This window comes from Homo sapiens, chromosome 11, assembly GCF_000001405.40.
Source record: "Homo sapiens chromosome 11, GRCh38.p14 Primary Assembly".
Lineage (NCBI taxonomy): Eukaryota > Metazoa > Chordata > Mammalia > Primates > Hominidae > Homo > Homo sapiens.
In genome coordinates, this window is record NC_000011.10 from 74,585,103 (window position 1) to 74,605,069 (window position 19,967).

Here is a 19,967-nt window from a genome sequence, read left to right on the forward strand (position 1 = left end):
GTTGCGGTAAGCCGAGATCGTGCCATTGCATTCCAGCCTGGGCAACAAGAGTGAAACTCCATCTCAAAAAAATAAATAAATAAAAATGATATGGACTCTTGTTAAAATTTCCAAACACATATAAGAAAAAATAGATATAAAGAAGAGAACAAAAATCAGCCAAATGCTATCGTGTAAAGATAACCACGGTGTTGAGAACATGGGCTTTGGGCATACCTGGGCTGGAAACACATCTTTACCACTTACTACCTATGTGGTTTGGGATAAGTTACTTAATTTCTCTGAGCTCCAGTTTCTTCATCTGTACAATAGGGATAATAATTTAAGCTAAGTGACATCTATAAAATACAGATAATAGTAGGTAAGTAATAATACTTACTTTATTGGTCGTTCCAAAGATTAAATGAAAATATTCAAGTAAAAGGCCTAGCATCGTGCCTACATATGCAGTGAATGGTAATTCATAGTGAACACTCTGAGGTCTCCTTTTTTCTCAGTCCTATATTTTTCCCCTTAAATCTCACTGCTTTTAGTGTAATTACACGTAAGTCAGGACAGGCGCCGTGGCTCACGCCTGTAATCCCAGCACTTTGGAGGCCGAGGCAGATGGATCACCTGAGGTCAGGAGTTCAAGACCAGCCTGGACAACATGGTGAAACCCCATCTCTACTAAAAATATAAAAATTAGCCAGGCATGGTGGCAGGTGCCTGTAATCCCAGCTACTCAGGAGGCCGAGGCAGGAGGACTGCCTGAGCCCAGGAGGCGGAGGTTGCAGCTAGCCAAGATCATGCCACTGCACTCCAGCCTGGGCAAGAGAGTGAGACTCTGTCTCAAAACACCAACCAACCAAACAAACAAACAAAAAAACTAAATCAGTAAACATTTATTAAGAAGCTATTAGACACTGGTGGTGGTGTTGTCATTATTATTATTATATTAGGATGAGGCTAGTTGTAAAGTGCTACTTAGTTATTTGTTTAAGCAAACCTTGTCTTAGAACTTACATGGAATTGTTTTCTACTAACTCTTCCCATTAACAACATAAAATTGATCTCAAATTTGGGTCCTTTTTTGGTGAAGGGATAATTGAATCTAACAGGATTGGCTGAGGATTAAATAAGCCACTCTAGGCAAGGTACTCAAAACACGGTATGTGCTCAATAAATGATAGTTATTATCATCCAAGCAATGTATACAACCTAAAAGACTCTTCATCTGGGATTCATGGCAGTAAAAGTACAGAGGAGTTCTCTTTTCTGGTTTACTTTTGACCCTAAAATGAAGCCTTCAGGCATTATCTAGATAAAATACTAATCTCCTGGACACAGTCCTAGGTTTCTTCACTGGCATTTGCTAGCTGTAGTTCCCTTCTAAATCTAATCAAAGGTCTATACTCCCCTCAAACTTCCCTTACCTCCAACACCTGACTCAAAAACTTTCAAGATTAACTTTTATTTGCCTGGACTCTATGTTGTCATATGATGTGATACTCAACATATCCAATTTGTTACTTGGTTTCTACTGAAAGTAATTCTCACTTGACTGATGTGCACAGGAATCCCAAAATTCTGCAATAAAATGTGTTAGAGTTCACTGTACTTATTATTGGTTTTATATGTACAGTTGTAAACTAATAATGAGATGGCAAAACACAGTGTTTAAGATCATGGATGCTGTAGCCAGATTGCCTGGGTTATACTTCTAGCTGTGTTGCTTTGTGACCTTGGGCAAGTTATTTAACCTCTCTGTGACAGAGTTTACTTTTCTGAATAAAGGGAATAATAACATGCTTTACTTTCTAGGGTTGTTACAGAGATTAGATGGGTTAATATTTGTAAAGCACTTGGAATGGAGCCTGTCATGTAGTCAGTGGTATATAAGTGTTTGTTATATAATAATAGTTGCCATTTATGGAGCACTTAATTATCTCCAAGGCACAGAACATGTTACTTTCAACCCTCTCAATCATGCAAGGTAGATAAATTATTTACAGTGATGCACGAGAGCTGGTTGATGCACTTGCTTATGAGAGCTGAATGTTAAATTTTCAGAAAGTTTGCAAGTCAGTTAAACAGAGCCATTACTGAAAATTAAATTATATAAATGTACAATCAAATTATATTAAACACAAGACAATATTCAAATTTCATCACTTCCTAAGTGTTTTACTACTATCTATGCTCTTTTTCATTTGTGTTTTTCTTTTATAGAGAGACAGGTCTCACTATGTTTCCTAAGCTGGACTCGAACTCCTGGGATCAAGGGATGCTCCTGTCTTTGCCTCCCAAAGTACTGAGATTACAGATGTGAGTCACTGTGCCTGGCCTATCTATGCTCTTGAGGTTATTTATGTTTATTGTGTCTGTATGATGGAAATAATGGTGTGATACTGTGCATCTCTTCCTAACTCTGCATTCTATGGCATCAATATCTGTAGCTTGAATTCTGCTATGTGGAGTATTTATACCACAGAAGTGCAACCACTTCAAATCAGGGCTTTTTTTATTTAGCAAGTTGGTTATTACACATTTATCTGTACATCGCTGGATATTATTATCTCTCTTCTTTTAAGATGATAAAAGAAGTTAAATGATTTGCCTAAAGCCACACTGCTAGTAAGTGGTAAAGCTGGAATTCAGGCCCAGATGTTTGTTTGTTTGTTTGTTTGCTTTCTTGCTTCTCACAAGAAACATTGTTTCCAAAGCCCATATGCTTTTCATTCAATTACGCTCCAAATTGGAAAAGGAAAAATCAAACTGGATAGGCCTTAGACACAGAAACAGAAAAGCTATCTCTTCTCTTCCCCCTCCAGCTCTCCTGCCCTTAACCCAACCCCCAGCCTACCCAATCCTGTGCAGAGCTGTAGTCATTCCTTTCTAGTCCCATTATCCCAACCCAGACTTGGAGATACCTTTCATTATTTATCTTGATTTGATAATCCAATTACTGCCTTGCTTTGCACCACTTTTGCCCATTATCCCTTCTTCCCAGAATCTCCTTTCTATTGTCCAAGGTTAAGATTAAACCCATTCTTTCTAATACCTCTACCTATTTTCTATTTTCCTAGTTTGAAAAGACTTGACACTGTAGTTAAGATTCCTCAAATAATTTCCTTAAACTTTTGATTCACGCAAACATCCATATAGAAAACTATACATATCAAAAGTATATACCTCAAATCATTTTCACAAACTCAACACACCATGCAACCAGCACCAAGATCAAGAATATTACCTTCATCTCAAAAGCCTCCTCATACTCCCTTCCAGTTTCTACCCTCCCAAGGGTAACCACTAATCCAGCTAAGTCATTCAACCCTAATATTGGCAGGTCCATTGGGTTGGGCTGGGCACTCTAAACAGTGTGGTTGATATAGGAGTTAAGAAGAAATCACTTAGGCAGATAGTAAGGGTATAGAAGTCCATGGTAAGGCTTTTCTTTTTCATGAAAAGCAGCCCCAAATCATTTTCTAACAAAGACCAGCCTGTAAAGTTGAGCTTCAGACATAGACAAGCAAGCTGGGAGCTTGCACGGGTGAATGTGGGCAGGAACTAGGGACTAGACATGTTCAAGATGGCGACTCCATCATCCCTTCTCTGCCAGCCACATGTACAGTAAGGAGCAGACAAGATGGTGCCAGCCAAGGAGAGTTCATTTGCATCATAAGATCAGGGTGGGGATACCAGCCTTCACCCCTGGGCTATGTAAATGTCACACCTGATCGAAACAATCTGTGAGCCCTACATAAATCAGACACCGCCTCCTCAAGCTGGACTATAAAGTCCAGCGCATCTGCCACCATGATCACTAGGAGACCCCTCTCTCTATATATAAAGAGAACTGTTTCTCTTTCTCTTCTGCCTATTAAACCTCCGCTCCTAAACTCTTCGTGTGTGTTAGTGTCCTAAATTTTCCTGGTGCCAGACTACCAACCCCAGGGTATATAGCCCAGACAATGTAGCCACCTCATTGTCATCTGCTCCATTTGGCATAGGGATAAGTATCAAGACTCTTCCCTAGCTAATTATCTTGACTTACTTCCCACTCCTGTGGAGCACTGACAAGAGGCCTGAGTTCTGATCCCACAGCAACCACCTAATAATCCTGGAAAAATCTATTTCTCTCTGAGCCGCAACAATCCAGTCTCTAAAATATGGACAATGGCCAGGCACAGTGGGTCACACCTGTAATCCCAGCAGTTTGGGAGGCCGAAGTGGGCGGATCACTTGAGGTCAGAAATTTAAGACCAGCCTGACCAACAAGGCGAAACCCCCTCTCTACTAAAAATACAGTTGGGTGTGGTGGTGCATACCTGTGATCCCAGCTACTCAGGAGGTGGAGGCATGAGAATCGCATGAACCTGGGAGGCAGAGGTTGCAGTGAGTGGAGATCATGCCACTGCACTCCACCCTGGGCGACAGATCAAGACTCCATCTCAAAAAATAAAACAAAATAAATAAACAGGCTGGGCACGGTGGCTCACACCTATAATCCCAGCACTTTGGGAGGCTGAGGTGGGCGGATTGCCTGAGGTCGGGAGTTCGAGGCCAGCCTGACCAACATGGAGAAACCCTGTCTCTACTAAAAATACAAAATTAGCTGGGCATGGTGGTGCATGCCTGTAATCCCAGCTACTCGAGAAGCTGAGGCAGGAGAATCGCTTGAACCCGGGAGGCAGAGGTTGCAGTGAGCAGAGATTGCGCCATTGCACTCCAGCCTGGGCAACAGGAGCAAAACTCCGTCTCAAAATAAATAAATAAATAATAAAATAAAATATGGACAATATAATACATTTGCAGCATTGCTATGAGGACTAAATGAAATATTGCTCTTAAAGTACCTGGTATAGTAGGTCTGGTATATAATAACGTAATAGTCAACGATCATAGATTTTATTGTGTGCAGGTACTGCATGAGAGTTTTATGTATATTATCTCATTTGTAACTGGCCAAATAGAATTATTTGATTTTCTCATCTGCTTCCAGTCTTTCACGTCTCAGTCAAGGGCATCACCATTTACCTAAAGATTTATGTTCCATATCTAGGTATTTTCCTTGATTCCTGTTTTTTCCACACTCCACTCGTGTAATTCATCAGCAGGTTTTGCCGACTCTAAAACAAAACTCAAGTCACTCAGTTCTCTCAATTTCCACTACCACTACTCTATTTTAAAAAATGTATTGGTTTGGCGTTGTGGCTTACGCCTGTAATCCCAGCACTTTGGGAGGCCAAGGCAGGTGGATCACCTGAGGTCAGGAGTTCGAGACCAGCCTGGCCAACATGGCGAAACCCCCTCTCTACTAGAACTACAACAAAATTAGCCGGGTGTGGTGGCGCATGCCAGTAATCCCAGCAACTTGGGAGGCAGAGGCAGGAGAATCACTTGAACCCGGGAGGCAGAGGTTACAGTGAGCCGAGATCGCGCCATTGCACTCCAACCTGGGGAACAAGAGCAAAACTCTGTCTCAAAAAAAAAAAAAATTATTATTTTTTGAGACAGGGTCTCACTCTGTCACCCAGGCTGTATGCAGTGGCATGATCAAGTGCTCACTGCAACCTCTACCTCCTGGGCTCAATCCATCCTCCCACTTCAGAACTGGGACCACAGACCACAGACCACAGGCTCGTGCCACCATGGCTTTTTTTTTTTTTTTTTTTAGTAGGGACGGAGTTTCAGTATGTTGCTCAGGCTGGTCTCGAACTCCTGGGGCTCAAGTGATCCACTTGCCTTGGCCTCCCAAAGTGCTGGGATTATAGGTGTGAGCTACTGTGCCTGGCACTGCTACCCTATTTTATTTTATTTATTTATTTTGAGGGGGGTCTCACTCTGTTTCCCAGGCTGGAGTGCAGTGGCACCATCTCAGCTCACCGCAACCTCGGTCTCCCAGGTTCAAGTGATTCTGCTGCCTCAGCCTCCCGAGTAGCTGGGATTACAGGCGTGTACCACCACACCTGGTTAATTTTTGTATTTTTAGTAGAGACGGGGTTTCGCCATGTTTGCCAGGCTGGTCTCGAACTCCTGACCTCAGGTGATCTGCCTGCCTCGGCCTCCCAAAGTGTGGGATTACAGGTGTGAGCCACTGCGCCGAGCCATTTTATTTTATTTTTAGACGGAGTCTCTCTCTGTTTCCCAAGCTGAAGTGCAGTGGCATGATCTCGGCTCACTGCAACCTCCACCTCCTGGATTCAAGACATTCTCATGCCTCAGCCCTGGGAGTAACTGGGACTATAGGCACGTGCCACCACGCCCGGCTAATTTTTATATTTTTAGTAGAGACAGGGTTTCACCATGTGGGCCTGGCAGGCCTCGAACTCCTGACCTCAGGTGATTCATCCCCCTAGGCCTCCCAAAGTGCTGGGATTACAGGCGTTAGCCACCGCGCCCGGTCTGCTACCCTATTTTAAACCACCACTATCTTTCACTTAAAAATCTCAGAATGTAAGTTACATGTGAACAGGCTCGGTTTATTATTGCTCATAGCTGCAGCCCCAGCACCTCAACACTCAGAATAGTATCTGGCCTTTCTCAGGATTTTGCTATGCTTTGAATGAATGCATGTCGCGACAAGCCTTTGAAGTAGGTACTGTTATTATTCCCATTTTATAGATAAGGAAATAGGCTCCTAGTGGCTAAAGAATTACCTAAGTTTACACAACAAACAGCAAAACCAGGATTCAAACCCAGTAAGTCTGACTCTAGAGCCCACTCTCTTACGCACTACACCTGCGATACTGAACTGCACCGGCTTATGCTGAAGTCAATTATTAAAGATTTTTGCGGGGGTGATACTAGGAGAAATTTGAGTTGAAATTCCCCAACCTGATAACTTTTCTCCAAGTTTTCCTGAGAACACAGCTCAAGCGCCTCTTCACAGTCTCCTAGGCACAACGATTTGGTTTCTCCCAAGTCTCTCTCATCCGCCTCTTCTCCTAACAATCCAGAGATAATGAACTCTTTTCCAGCAAATTCTCCTGCTTCTATCCGAAACACTCAGCCTCTCCTCAACCCCTCTGGAAAAACCTTCCCTAATTTCTCAACTCTGAGGGATTATAACAGGCAGTACTTTTCCCCAGTTGGCAGCACTACTAAAATTACTTGTTTTCAATAGTCTCCCCTTTATCCTGGCTTTCCCGGGTTTCATCACGCGCAGCCAACCTCGGTAGGGAAATATTATACCCAATGACATCTGTTGAGAGACCATATTCACTAATGTTTATTACAGTATAATAATAATTGTTCTATTTTATCGTTAGTTATTTTTGTTAATCTCTTACTGTGCCTAATTTATAAATTAAACTTTATCATAGGTACGTAGGTATAGGAAAAAACCAGCCAGGAGGCCCCGCACTTCGGTGTTTTCTACTAGCTCTGCCTACCTCCGTCTGCGCCGTCTCCCTGACTAGTTTGACCCTTCGAGGGCCGCCGTAGTGCGTCGCCTCCGTTGCCGGGGAAACGACCCGGGACCTGGGAGGGAGCAAAGACGTTTCCCGCCGGCGGGAGCTGTGGCTGTGATTGAGAGAGGGGTTAGAGGCGGGTCCCAGCGCTGCCGCACCATGGCGGACCAGCTTTATCTGGAAAATATAGACGAGTTCGTCACGGACCAAAACAAGATCGTGAGCAGCTACTACTGGGGAACGCGGGCGTGCGACCGGGGTCCTGGGCCCGGCTAGGGCGGCGGGAGCCTTGACCCTCTGTCTGCTTGTGGCTTCGTGGGGACCAGGGGAGACAGGTCCCCACGAGGGGACCTGGGCGAGCTCTGTGCCCCAGAGCGAGCGAGGACTCGTCGGGAAGGTCCTCCAGCACACACGGAAGTCCGCGTCCCTTGGGTGGGCGTGCTGGGAACAGAGCCTGGGGCTGGAGCCGCGGAGACCGGGCGCGGAGGGAGGGCCGTTGGCTGAGAGTTCTAAGGCGTCCCTACACCTTTCTTTTAAGGTGGTTGGCGTTTAAAGTTTTAAGTTTACAGTTGAGGAAATCGTGTCTTAACTGTGTTAAGTTACAAGTTGCGTAACCTCCAGATACTGTTTCCTCTTCCTGGAAATTTAAGCATTGATAGAGGTTTGATCCGCTTCACACGGGTGAGGAAAAGATCGAGCGAATTGATGGATGTGAGTGCACTTTGCAAACCGTGATGATTGAGTGCCTGCTGTGTGCCAAGGCACTTTAATCTTTACAGTGACCTCCCCGCACCCCATCCCAGGTCGGTGGTGGTATCCCGAGATGAGGAAATTGAAGCTGAGGGGCCAAATAACTTGTTTATTTGCGTTTGGTAAGGGATAGGCAGTTTTTCAACCTAGGTCTGTCCTCTTACTAATGCTTTCTTCTACATCACACTGCCTTTGCCTAACCTGTGCAAGTCTTCTAACTATTGGAAGCTTGACATTTGGAATTGGAAGAGACTTTGAGAGAAGAGAGTGCAGGCATCCTGGGTCTAGGAGGGATGAAGGCTTGATGCTGGTAGTTCCCAATCTAATCTCTTATAAAAATATTTACCCACTTTTTTCGTTTCCTGACCCCTGCACCACCTGTGCCCTTTAATGTTTGCATGGGTGCAACTTTCTTTAGAAGTTTCTGAGACATCACACTTCAAAGTCATCTAGCTTCTGAATGAGTTTTAGGATGGCTTTGGCTGGTGGCCCCCAAAAAAAACATCATGAGGAAAGGGCCTGAGTAAAACAAGGAATGTGAGGAAAATGAGAGTTTTTTCTGTTAGGTATGTTCAGCTTGTCTTTTTAGATTACTTTTCATTAGTTCATGAAACAAACTTCTTAGCATTTTTAAGATAAATAGGTCCTGCCTACCCAGATAGATAGTTCTTGGGAAAACTGCAGTGGCATTTATTGTAATTTGTAAGGCATAATCATCTAAGAATAGGAATCTTTAGCAACAGACCTTCGGGACTGATGTGCACTCTGGAGTCATCTAATAAAACATTTGAAAAATTTTTTCTTGTTACAGGTGACATACAAATGGCTGAGCTATACACTAGGGGTTCATGTTAACCAGGCCAAACAGTAAGTCCAATTTACTACCAATTTTAATCATATTGGAATTTTTTTTTGTTTTGTTATGCTTTGCTTTTAACTCTACAGATAGCCTACATAGATTAGAGCTAATTTGGTTTGCTGGCAATCATTGGTATTTCTTGGCTTGTAGCTGCGTAATTCCAATCTCTGCCTTCATTGTCATGGCATTCTCCCTGTATATCTGTATCTTTGCACGTCCATCTTATATGAACACCAGTCATACTGAATTACGAATCCACCCTACTCCAATATGACCTTGTCTTAACTAATTACATGTGCTATAATTCTATTTCTAAATAAGGTCACATTTTAAGGTATTGGGGGTTAGGGCTTTAACATTACCTTTTTGGAGACATGATTCAGTCTGTAATATGGATACAACAAGTTTTGTTTATTCATCATTAATGGACATTTGGGTTATTTCCATATTTTGACTGCTATGAATGATGCTGTTATGAACATTCATGTATAAAACATTCATCTATAAGTGTTTATATGAACATATATTTTCAGTTATCTTGGGTATTTGTGTTAGTCCATTCTCATGCTGCTATGAAGACACACCTGAGATTGAATTTATAAAGACGAGGTTTAATTGACTCACAGTTCCGCATGGCTGGGGAGGCCTCAGGAGACTTGGCGGAAGGCATCTCTTCACAGGGTGGCAGGAGAGAGAATGAGTGTCGAGCGAAGGGGGAAGCCCCTTGTAAAACCGTCAGATTTCGTGAGAACTCACTATCATGAGAAGAGCATGGGGGAACTGCCCCCATAATTCAGTTATCTCCACCTGGTCCGTCTTTGACATGTGGGGATTATTACAATTCAAGTTGAGATTTGGGTGGGGACACAGCCAAACTAGGATTGGAATTGCTGGGTCATGAGATAATTCTGTATTTAACATTTTGAGGAACTGACAAACTATTTTTCAAAATGGCTGCGCTTCTTACAGTCCTAACAGTATATGAGTATTTCAGTTTCTCCACATTCTGGTTAACACTAACACTGTTTTTTCCCTCAGACTTCTCATGGATGAACTCTTTTTTTTTTTTTTTTTTTTTTTTGAGATGGGGTTTCACTATGTTGCCCAGGCTGGATTTGAACTCAAGGATCCTCCCGCCTCAGCCTACCAACTAGCTCTACAGGTGTACATCACCACACCTGGCAAAAACTTTTTATTATGTCTTATTTTAACCATCCTAGTGGATGTGAAGTGGTATCTCATAAATTATGTTGATTGGCATTTTCCTAATGACTAATGTTGCTGAATATCTTTTCATATGCTGCTTGGCCATATCTTTGGAGAAATAGATATTCAAAATTATGCCCATTTTTGTCATTGGGTATTTTTGGTTGTTGTTGAGTTTTAAGAGTTCTTTATATATTCTGAATACAAGACCCTGATTGAAAAATTATTTGCAAAAATTTTCTCCCATTCTGTGGATTGTCTTTGTACTTTCTTGATGGTGTGCTTTGAAGCACAGACATTTTTTGTTGTTGTTGTTGTTTGAGACAGGATGTCACTCTGTTGCCCAAGCTGGAGTGCAGTGGTGTGATCTCAGCCCACTGCAGCCTTGACTTCCCTGGGCTCAGGTGATTTTCCCACCTCAGCCTCCCGAGTAGCCGGGACTACAGGTGCGTGCCACCACACTCAGCTAATTTTTAAATTTTTTGTAGAGATGGAGTCCCGCCATGTTTCCCATGCTGGTCCCAGGCTGGTCTTGAATTCCCAGGCTCAAGCCCCTGCCTTGGCCTCCCAAAGTGCTGGGATTACAGACATAAGCCACCATGCCTGGCCCATGGAAGTTTTTATTGCTGATGAAGTCCAATTTATTTATTTTTCCTTTTGTTGCTTATGCTTTTTTAAGTTTAAATTTTAAAATGATTAAATTTTTTTTAATCTTATTTTTTTTTTTTTTTTAGTAGAGATGAGATCTTGCTATGTTGCCCAGGCTGGTCTCAAACTCCTGACCTCAAGTGATCCTCCCACCTTGGCCTCCCAAAATGCTGGGATTACAGATACAAGCCACTGTGCCCGGCCTAAGAAGATTTTTTTTTTTCTTTTTTTTTTTTTTGAGGCAGAAGCCTTGCTCTGTCGCCCAGGCTGGAGTCCAACGGCGTGATCTCGGCTCACTGCAACCTCCGCCTCCCTGGTTCAAGCTATTCTACTGCCTCAACCTCCGAGGTAGCTGGGACTACAGGCATGTGCCACCATACCCGGCTAATTTTATTGTATTTTTAGTAGAGTTGGGGTTTCACCATGCTGGCCAGGCTGGTCTCGAACTCCTGACCTCAAGTGATCTGCCCGCCTCGGCCTTCTAAAGTGCTGGGATTACAGATGTGAGCCATCGTGCCAAGCCAAGATTTTTTAAATTGAGAAATAAAGTTGTATGTATTTATTGTGTACAACATTATGTTTTGAAGTATATATACACTGTGGAGTAGTTAAATCTAGCTAATAAATGTATTACATCACACAGTTATTTTGGTGGTGAAAACATTTAATGTCTACCATCTTTTCATTTTTCAAGAATATATCATCACTAACTGTAGTCACCATGCTATACAGTAGAGCTCTTGAACTTATTCCTGTCTAACTGTAATTATGTATCCTTTAGACCCACATCTCCCCATTCCCCCTCCCCTAACCACTTCAGCCTATGGAAAGAAAATTCTGCTTTCCACTTCCGTGAGATCACCTTTTACAGATTCCACAAATGAGTGAGATCATGTAGTATTTGTCTGTGTCTGGCTTATTTCAGTTAACATAGTCTCTTCCAGGTTCATCCATTTTGTTGCAAATGATAGGATTTTATTCATTTTTATGGCTGAATAGTATTCCATTGTGTATATACACTATATTTCCTTTATCCATTAATGGACATTTATTGATTCCATATCTTGGCTGTTGTAAATAGTGCTGCAATAAACATGTGAGTGCAAATATCTCTGACATACTGATTTCATTTCCTTTGGATGTATATCCGTAGTGGGACTGCTGGATCATACAGTAGCTCTATTTTTGATATTTTGAGGAACCTCCATACCGTTTTACATAATGGCTGTATTAATTTACATTCCCACCAACAATGTATAAGCATTCTGTTTTCTCCATACCCTTGTTGTGTTTTCTTTTTGATGTGTTGCTTGTGCTTCTGACATAATATCTAAGAAGGCTTTGCCTAACCCAGGGTTATGAAGATTTACTCCTGTGCTTTTTTCTAAGATTTTTTAGTTTTTGCACTTATATTTAATTCTGTAATCCACTTAGAGTTTAAAAAAATCATGGTTATCACTATGTTTAAGTTTTCTACAGATCGTGTGCTTGTTAGCATCATTATTATTATTGTTTTGAGACAGGGTTTCACCCTGTTGCCCAGATGGAAATGCAGTGGCGCAATTTTGGCTCACTGCAACTTCAGCCTCCCAGGCTCAAGTGATTCTCCCTCCTCAGCCTCCCGACTAGCTGGAACTACAGGCGCATGCCACCACACTTGGTTACTTTTTGTATTTTTTGTAGAGACGGGGTTTTGCTGTGTTGTGCAGGCTGGTCTCGAACTCCCAGGCTGAAGCCATCCTCCTGCCTTGTCCTCCAAAGTGCTGGGATTGCAGGCATAAGCCACTGCACCTGGCCATGTACTTGTTAACATTAGAAATGCTTCAGTCGGGTGGCTGTGGTGGCTCAGTTGTATTAGTCCCAACACTTGAGGAGGCTGAGGTAGGAGGATTGCTTGAGCCCAGGAGTTCAAGACAAGCCTGGGCAACATAGTGAGACCCACATCTTTATAAAAAGTTTTTTTAAAACATGAGCCTGGTGTGGTGGCATGCACCTGCAGTCTTAGCTACTCAGAAGGCTGAGGCAGGAGAATTGTCTGAGCCCGGGAGTTCAAGGCTGCAGTGAGCTATGATCACACCTGGGTGACAGAGCAAGAACCTATCTCTAAAAGAGAAAGAGAGGAGAGAGAAAAAAGGGAGGAAAGAAAGAAAAAGAAAAAAATGCTTTAGTTCCTACAGTAAGACTATACTAAAGCTTTCAGATTAGGTGTTAGTTCAAGCTAATTTTTAAATGAATCACTGAAATGTATAAATATTGACTATATCTTCTAGGAATCACTTGGAGTTGATTTTTTGTGTATGGTGTAAGGAAAGGGTCCAGCATCATTTTTTTGCACATGGGTATACGGTTATCCCAGCATTTTATAATTCATATTATTGTCTTGGCATTTTCTTGCTAATTATATGTCTTTCCCCACTAGAATATAAACTCTATGAAGGCAGGAAACTTGTCAGGTTCATCACTGTTCTGATTACTATTGCTGTGTCAGAAATCACCCCAAAATGTAGTGCCTGGAAACATCATTTTATTATGCGCATAGATTCTTTTGCTTTGGAATTTGGATAGGGCACAGTGGGAATGGCTTATGTCTGTTCCATGATGTCTGGCATCCCCGCTGGAAAGTCTCAATAACTGGAACCTGGTCATCTCTAGGCATCTTTATGCACATGTCTGGCTGTTGATTCTGGCCATCTGTTGGGCCTTTAGCTGGGGCAGTGGACTAGAGTGCTTGCATGTGGTCTATCTGTATGGCCTGGGCTTTCTCACAGCCTGGTGTCTCCAGGTAGTCGGACTTCTTACATAGAAGCTCAGGGCTCCAAAAGCTTGTGTTCCAGCACAATGTAGAGCCAATTGCCTTTTCTGACTAGCCTCAGAAGTCAAGCAGTGAATAACTGGTCATACCAGATTCAAGAAGTGGGCTCTACTTCTCAATGAGAGAATGTAGAAGAGCATATGGAATGGAAGATGCTGTCTCAGCCATCTTTGGAAAATATAACATGCCACAATTATTCTGTCTTCAGTGTCAGGCACATAATGAATGCCAATACATACTGAATGAATACCAAGCACTATGGTTTATGTTTGTTTTGAGATAGAGTCTCACTGTATCACCCAGGCTGGAGTGCAGTAGTTCAAACATGGCTTCCTTTAGCCATGACCTCCTAGGCTTAAGGGATACTCCCACCTCAGTCTCCTGAGAGTAGCTGGGACCACAGGTACATGCCACCATGCTAGCTGATTTTTTTATTTCGTAGAGTTGGGATCTTGCTGTGTTGACCAGGCTGGTCTTGAACGTCTGGACTCAAGCAGTCCTCCTGCCTCAGCCTCCCAAAGTGCTGAGATTATAGGCATGAGCCACCATGCTCGGCCTCACTATAGTATTTTCACAAACATTTCTCTCAAGTAATTTTTTTTTTTTTTTTTGACGGAGTCTCGCTCTGTTGCCTAGGCCGGAGTGCAGTGGCGGAACTCAGCTCACTGCAACCTCCACCTTCCAGGTTCAAACGATTCTCCTGCTTCAGCCTCCTGAATAGTGGGGATTACAGCACCTGCCACCACGCCTGGCTAATTTTTGTATTTTTAGTAGAGACAGGGTTTCACGATCTTGGCCAGGCTGGTCTTGAACCCCTGACCTCGCAATCTGCCCACCTCGGCCTCCCAAAGTGCTGGGAGTACAGGCTTGAGCCACCGTGCCTGGCCTCATACTGTTTTTTTTTAGCATTATTTCAGGCTATGTCATACAACAGTAAACCTGACAGACAGGGTCCCTCCCCTGGTTGATTTAAACAAGATAATTTCAGACTGTGAAAATGCTGTGAAATAATTAAGTTGGGTTAGAGAAAGCGGTATGGGCAATACACTGTACTCATCCTGGGGAACATTATGGGTGGAACTGATCAGGAGGGAAGATTAATGAATTAAAATGGGAAGCTATAATTAATCATGTGTAGGAAGTGTATCTTGTAAGAAGTCATATATGTTGTTATTATTATTATTTTTTTTTTTTTTGAGACAGCTCTGTTGCCCAGGCTGGAGTACAATGGTGCAATCTCGGCTCACTGCAACCTCCGCCTTTAGAATTCAAGCAATTCTCCTGCCTCAGCCTCCCGAGTAGCTGGGACTACAGGCACATGCCACCACGCCTGGCTAACTTCTTGTATGTTTAGTAGAGATGGGGTTTCACCATGCTGGCCAGCTGGTCTTGAACTCCTGACCTCGTGATCCGCCTGCCTCGGCCTCCTAACATGCTGGGATTACAGGCATGAGCCACTGTGCCCAGCCTGTTGTCATTCTTATTTAAGAATATTTTATATTTTGTTTATTAAAAAATATTTGGCTTAGGCTGGGCGCGGTGACTAATGCCTGTAATCCTAGCACTTTGGGAGGCCGAGGAGGGCAGATTGCCTGAGCTCAGGAGTTTGAGACCAGGCTCAAGCTATCCTCCTGCTTCTGCCTCCCTGAGAGCTGGGATTACAGGCGTGAGCCACCACACCTGGCGCTACTGAAATACAAAAATACTAAAATACAAAAAATTAGCCAGCGTGTGCCTGTAGTCCCAGCTACTTGGGAGGCTGAGGCAGGAAAATCACTTGAACCTAGGAGGCAGACATGGCAGTGAGCTGAGATCGCGCCACTGCACTCCAGCCTGGCGACAGAGCGATACTCTATCTCCAAAAAAACAGAAAAGTTTGGCTTAAATTAGATAAAACATGTTTTAAAGACTCAAAAAGTAGGCAGGAATTCTTTCCTTTTTTTTTTTTTTTTTTTTTTTTGAGATAGGATTTTGCTCTTGTTGTCCAGGCTGGAGTGTGATGGCACGATCCCAGCTCACTGCAACCTCTGTCTCCCAGGTTCAAGCGATTCTCCTGCTTCAGCCTCCCGAGTAACTGGGATTACGGGCATGCGCCACCATGTGCCCGGCTAATTTTGTATTTTTAATAGAGACGAGGTTTCTCTATGTTGGTTAGGCTGGTCTCAAACTCTCAACCTCAGGTGATCTGCCTGCCTTGGCCTCCCAAAGTGCTGGGATTACAGGTGTGAGCCACCGCACCCAGCCACAAGAATTGTTTTTTAAAATAAGAGTTTGCTTTGCATTTTCTGTTAATATAAGAGAGAAGAACTGGGGTCAATTTGGGGAGACAAGTGCATAGAGGACAATGACTGATGATATGGGCAGGACTATTAGTTGTGGATAAAAGATAGTGCATTTGGCCAGCAAGCTTGCAAGCATTTTGGGCATGGTACCTGCCTATCATGTCTTCCTTTAGCATGGTCCAAACTAGCATCAATAAACCAAAATGTTTGTGGATCTGTTAGCTCATTTATCCTTCTAACACAATTGTTGTAATGGAAAGAAACATTAGAGGGCAAAGAGGAGGAATCAGCAAAAATCCTGACTAGGGCACCTTTTTGTACTCAAGGTGTTAACAGTCTAGAGGGGATGCGTCATATGTAAAATAAATAGTTAGAAGGCAGGGTGATATGTGCTGTAATAATAGATATGGGATAAAATTTGTTAGAGCTTGGATGGCAGAAGCTCATTGTCTAGGCATGATGGCTCACTCCTGTAATCCTAGCATTTTGAGAGGCCAAGGCAGGAGGATCACTTGAGCGCAGGGGTTCGAGGTCAGGCTGGGAGATATAACAAAAGCCTGTTTCTACCAGGAAGAAAAAATAATAACCAGGCATGGTAGCATGCACCTGTGGTCCTGTTTACTTAGGAGGCTGAGGAAGGAGGATGGCTTGAGCCCAGGAATTCAAGGTTATAGAGAGCTGCGCCACTGCACTTCAGCCTGGGCGACAGAGTGAGACTCTATCTCTTAAAAAAAAGATGTGCCCTGGTGACCTGATGGTGTTGGGGAAGGGTTCATACTTCATAGAGGAGGTGACAACTGAGCTGCTGTCTTGATGAGAAATTAGGTAGTTGAGGCCTGAGAAGAGCCTTCTAGGCAGAAGGAAGGGCATATACAAAGGAATAAAGAGAATTGTAGAATGTTTCATTAAGGATGAAGATAGTGTAGGTATGATGGGGAATGGTCAGAGATACAGAGCCCAGAACAAGAAGGGTCTTACCTGTCATTGCTAGAGATTTGAAGTTGATCCTTAGGGGATGAGAAGCTACTGAAAGCTTTGTTACACTTTTTTTTTTCTCCTCCCTTTTTGTGGAACATGGGGTCTCGCTATATTGCCCAGTCAGGTCTTGAACTCCTGTGCTCAAGCTATCCTCCTGCTTCTGCCTCCCTGAGAGCTGGGATTACAGGCGTGAGCCACCACACCTGGCGCTACTGAAAGCTTTATAACAAGGAATTATGTTTCAGACAAGACTCTCTAGCAACCTTTTCAACATCAACAGTGACTAATAGGCATTGCAAATTTAATATGCCCCCAAACCTAACTCCTGACTTCTCCCCTCAACACCTGCTTTTCCTGCTTTTCCCCCATCTCAGTGAATTACAGCTTCCTTCTTTGGGTTGCCTAGTCCAGTCATTTTTGACTCTTCTTTCTCTTACACTTCAACACAGTATATCAGCAAATCCTGTTGTTTCTCACTTTAAAATATACCCAGAATTCATCCACTAATTACTACCTGCACTGCTACTGCCCCAAACTGAGCTACCAGTCATCTCTAGGCTGGGTTATTGCAATAGCCTAACTGGTCTTGCTTCCTCCCTTGCCCCTCTACAGTATATCATCCACATAACCTTCTCAGATCCTTCTGAAAGGTGAGATCACATTACCTCTGCTCTCAACTTTCTAATGGCTTCTTAAAGTCCTGTGGTAGCCACAAAGCCCTATGTGCCTGGCACTCTGCCCTCTCTCCCCTACTACCGTCCTTATTCCACTACAGCACACTGGCCTTTCTGTTCCTTGGATCTTGCTGACCTTCCTGCCTCAGAACCTTGGTATTTGCTGGACTCTCTGCCTAGAACATTGTTTCCCAAGATATCCACCTTGCTGGCTCCCTCCCTCCCTGCAGGGCTCTGCTAATGAGGCCTTCCCTAATCACCTTATATAAAATAGCAAAACTTCTCAGGCACCCTCTGTCCTCCTTAACTTACTTAACTTTGTTTCCATAGACTTACTGTCATCTGAGATTATATATTATATGTTTATTGTGTGTCTCCTTTCTAGAATGTAAGCTCTAAGAGTGGACTTTGCTTTATTCACTGTTCTGTCCCTAAGGCGTAGAACATAAAGTAACCACTTGGTAAAGTTTTGTTGATTGAATGACTTGATTTGCATTTTTTAAACTTCACTCTGGCAGCATCATGGATAATGAAGGTGAGGTGGGGAGGAGAAGAGGAATTGATACTTGGAATTGAAATAGTCTAGTCAAGAGATTTGGAGGGCATGGAGTCAAGAATTACTTGGGAAGGAGAGCTGATGAGACTTGGCAACTCATTGGATAGGAAGAAGTGAAGTATAATGACTCCCAGATTTCTGGCTTGCGTGGTTTCAGCAGATGATGTTGTTGTCAGAGATGGATGAAATAAACCGAGGAAAATATGTAGTAGGGTGACTAGCCACCCTGGGTTTGCCCAGGATGGTTGGTTTTGTCACTGAAAGTTCCACATCCCAAGAAACCCCTCAGACCCAGGCAGACAGGAATGGTCAGTCACTCTAATACATAGAGTGAAAAAATAGCTAAAGACAGAATACCAACAGTTAAGGAAAGGGAGGAGGTAGAGAAGTCTCTTCAGAAAGTAAAGCAGAAGCAGTGAGAGGGGTAGCAGAAGACTCAGTGGGGCATGGTTTTATGGAAGCTGAGAGAGCAGGCTCTTCAAGAAGAGAGTGAACAGCAATGTAGGTTGAGCTTCTCTGGGGATTTTTAAATTTCTAGCTATGCTTGGCAGAAGTATATTATAGACAGATTGTAAATGTTTCTCAAAATAAAAGACATGTCTCTTTGTTGTTTTTAAACTAGATTATTGAAGGGAGCCAACTTCTGATACTTGCTGGATCATAGAGTAAAAATGAATTTAGAGATTTTACTAAAAGCAACATTATTTCTGCATTTAGTATTTGGCTATCTCAGGTTAATGAATTATTCTGAATACTGGGCAATGTGAGTAAGCTGTTACATTCTGCAATTCTGAACCGGCATTAAATCTGAGTAATCATAAAATTGGAATTTCAGAGCTGGACATTTGTGATCATATACTTAGTAGTTCTTAATGTTTTGGAGTAATTCACTCTTCAGAATCCATTGAAAACCCTCACACATCTCCCAAAAAAGCACATAAACATTTGCTGAAACTTTAGGATTGGAGGGTTATAGATGGCCACCTGAATCCCAGGTTAAAAGAATCACTAATCTAATATAACCCTCCTGTTTACGCCTTGGGATATTAAGAGGCCTAGACAAATTAATTAACTTATCCAGAGCTTAGACAGTTACCAAACTACTTCTTGATTCAGTGTTCTATTTATTATGTATCATTGCCACTGTTTTAATGCAGGTTCAGTCCCTCTTGGTCTATTATTAATCTTATTTCAGTTAATGTACTGATCACTGTGCCAGCTCCAAACACATGGACTCTACTCCCCATGTCCTGTCTGAAGTCCATCCTTTTTTTTTTTCAACTGTCCATAGGCCAAGCAAAAATGCTACTGTTCAGAAAATTTGATGGACTACCAGATTTCATTTATCTTTTAAGTCATTAATTAAGAGTTGATCATGTAAAAACTCTTACTGATGTCTTACTTGTGCCTTCTTTTCTTTGGAATAGGATGCTGTATGATTATGTTGAAAGGAAACGAAAAGAAAATTCAGGAGCCCAACTGCATGTTACCTACTTGGTGTCTGGCAGTCTCATTCAGAATGGACATTCCGTAAGTTCTCAGAGCCTTGTAATGAGCTTAAATGTGTTTGTGTTATGAAGAGTGTTATAACATAGTTCAGGGGAGAGAAAAAAATCAAGATTCTGTGTTATAGTAGTTTTAAAGAGCTACTTGATGGTGATGATTATTTTGGATTTTTAGATTAAATCTAAAACTGAGAAGTTTGGGTAATATCTTGGCTGTGATGCAGAGACTGTATCATTATTATGCAATAAGATGTTAGGAGACTGCTTCTGTTATTCCCTATATCTCTTTTTTTCCTCTTG

General features: G+C 42.6%; 1 protein-coding gene across 7 annotated transcripts in view, besides 1 other annotated feature; it reads left to right on the forward strand.

Annotated features, from left to right (window-relative positions):
• Nucleotides 7,142-7,775: an enhancer, noted in NCBI's record as "H3K27ac hESC enhancer chr11:74303289-74303922 (GRCh37/hg19 assembly coordinates)". NCBI's record gives its function as "activates a minimal SCP1, AML or CMV promoter by ChIP-STARR-seq in naive H9 embryonic stem cells {active_cell/tissue: H9 hESC(naive)}" and the evidence as "EXISTENCE:reporter gene assay evidence [ECO:0000049][PMID:30033119]".
• Nucleotides 7,480-19,967, forward strand: part of POLD3 (DNA polymerase delta 3, accessory subunit) — a 76,760-nt gene continuing 64,272 nt past the window's right edge. For 3 of the 7 annotated variants that reach the window (XM_005273716.1, NM_006591.3, XM_047426295.1), the window contains exons 1-3: nt 7,480-7,616; nt 8,959-9,014; nt 19,590-19,692. In XM_005273716.1, the coding sequence (XP_005273773.1) occupies nt 7,557-7,616; nt 8,959-9,014; nt 19,590-19,692 (219 nt within the window). In that variant the 5' untranslated portion in view covers nt 7,480-7,556. Of the gene's footprint in view, nt 8,109-8,958; nt 9,015-19,589; nt 19,693-19,967 lie in introns of all 7 variants that reach the window. The other 4 variants (NR_046410.2, XM_011544734.4, NM_001363597.2 and 1 more) reach the window with 4 other exon arrangements.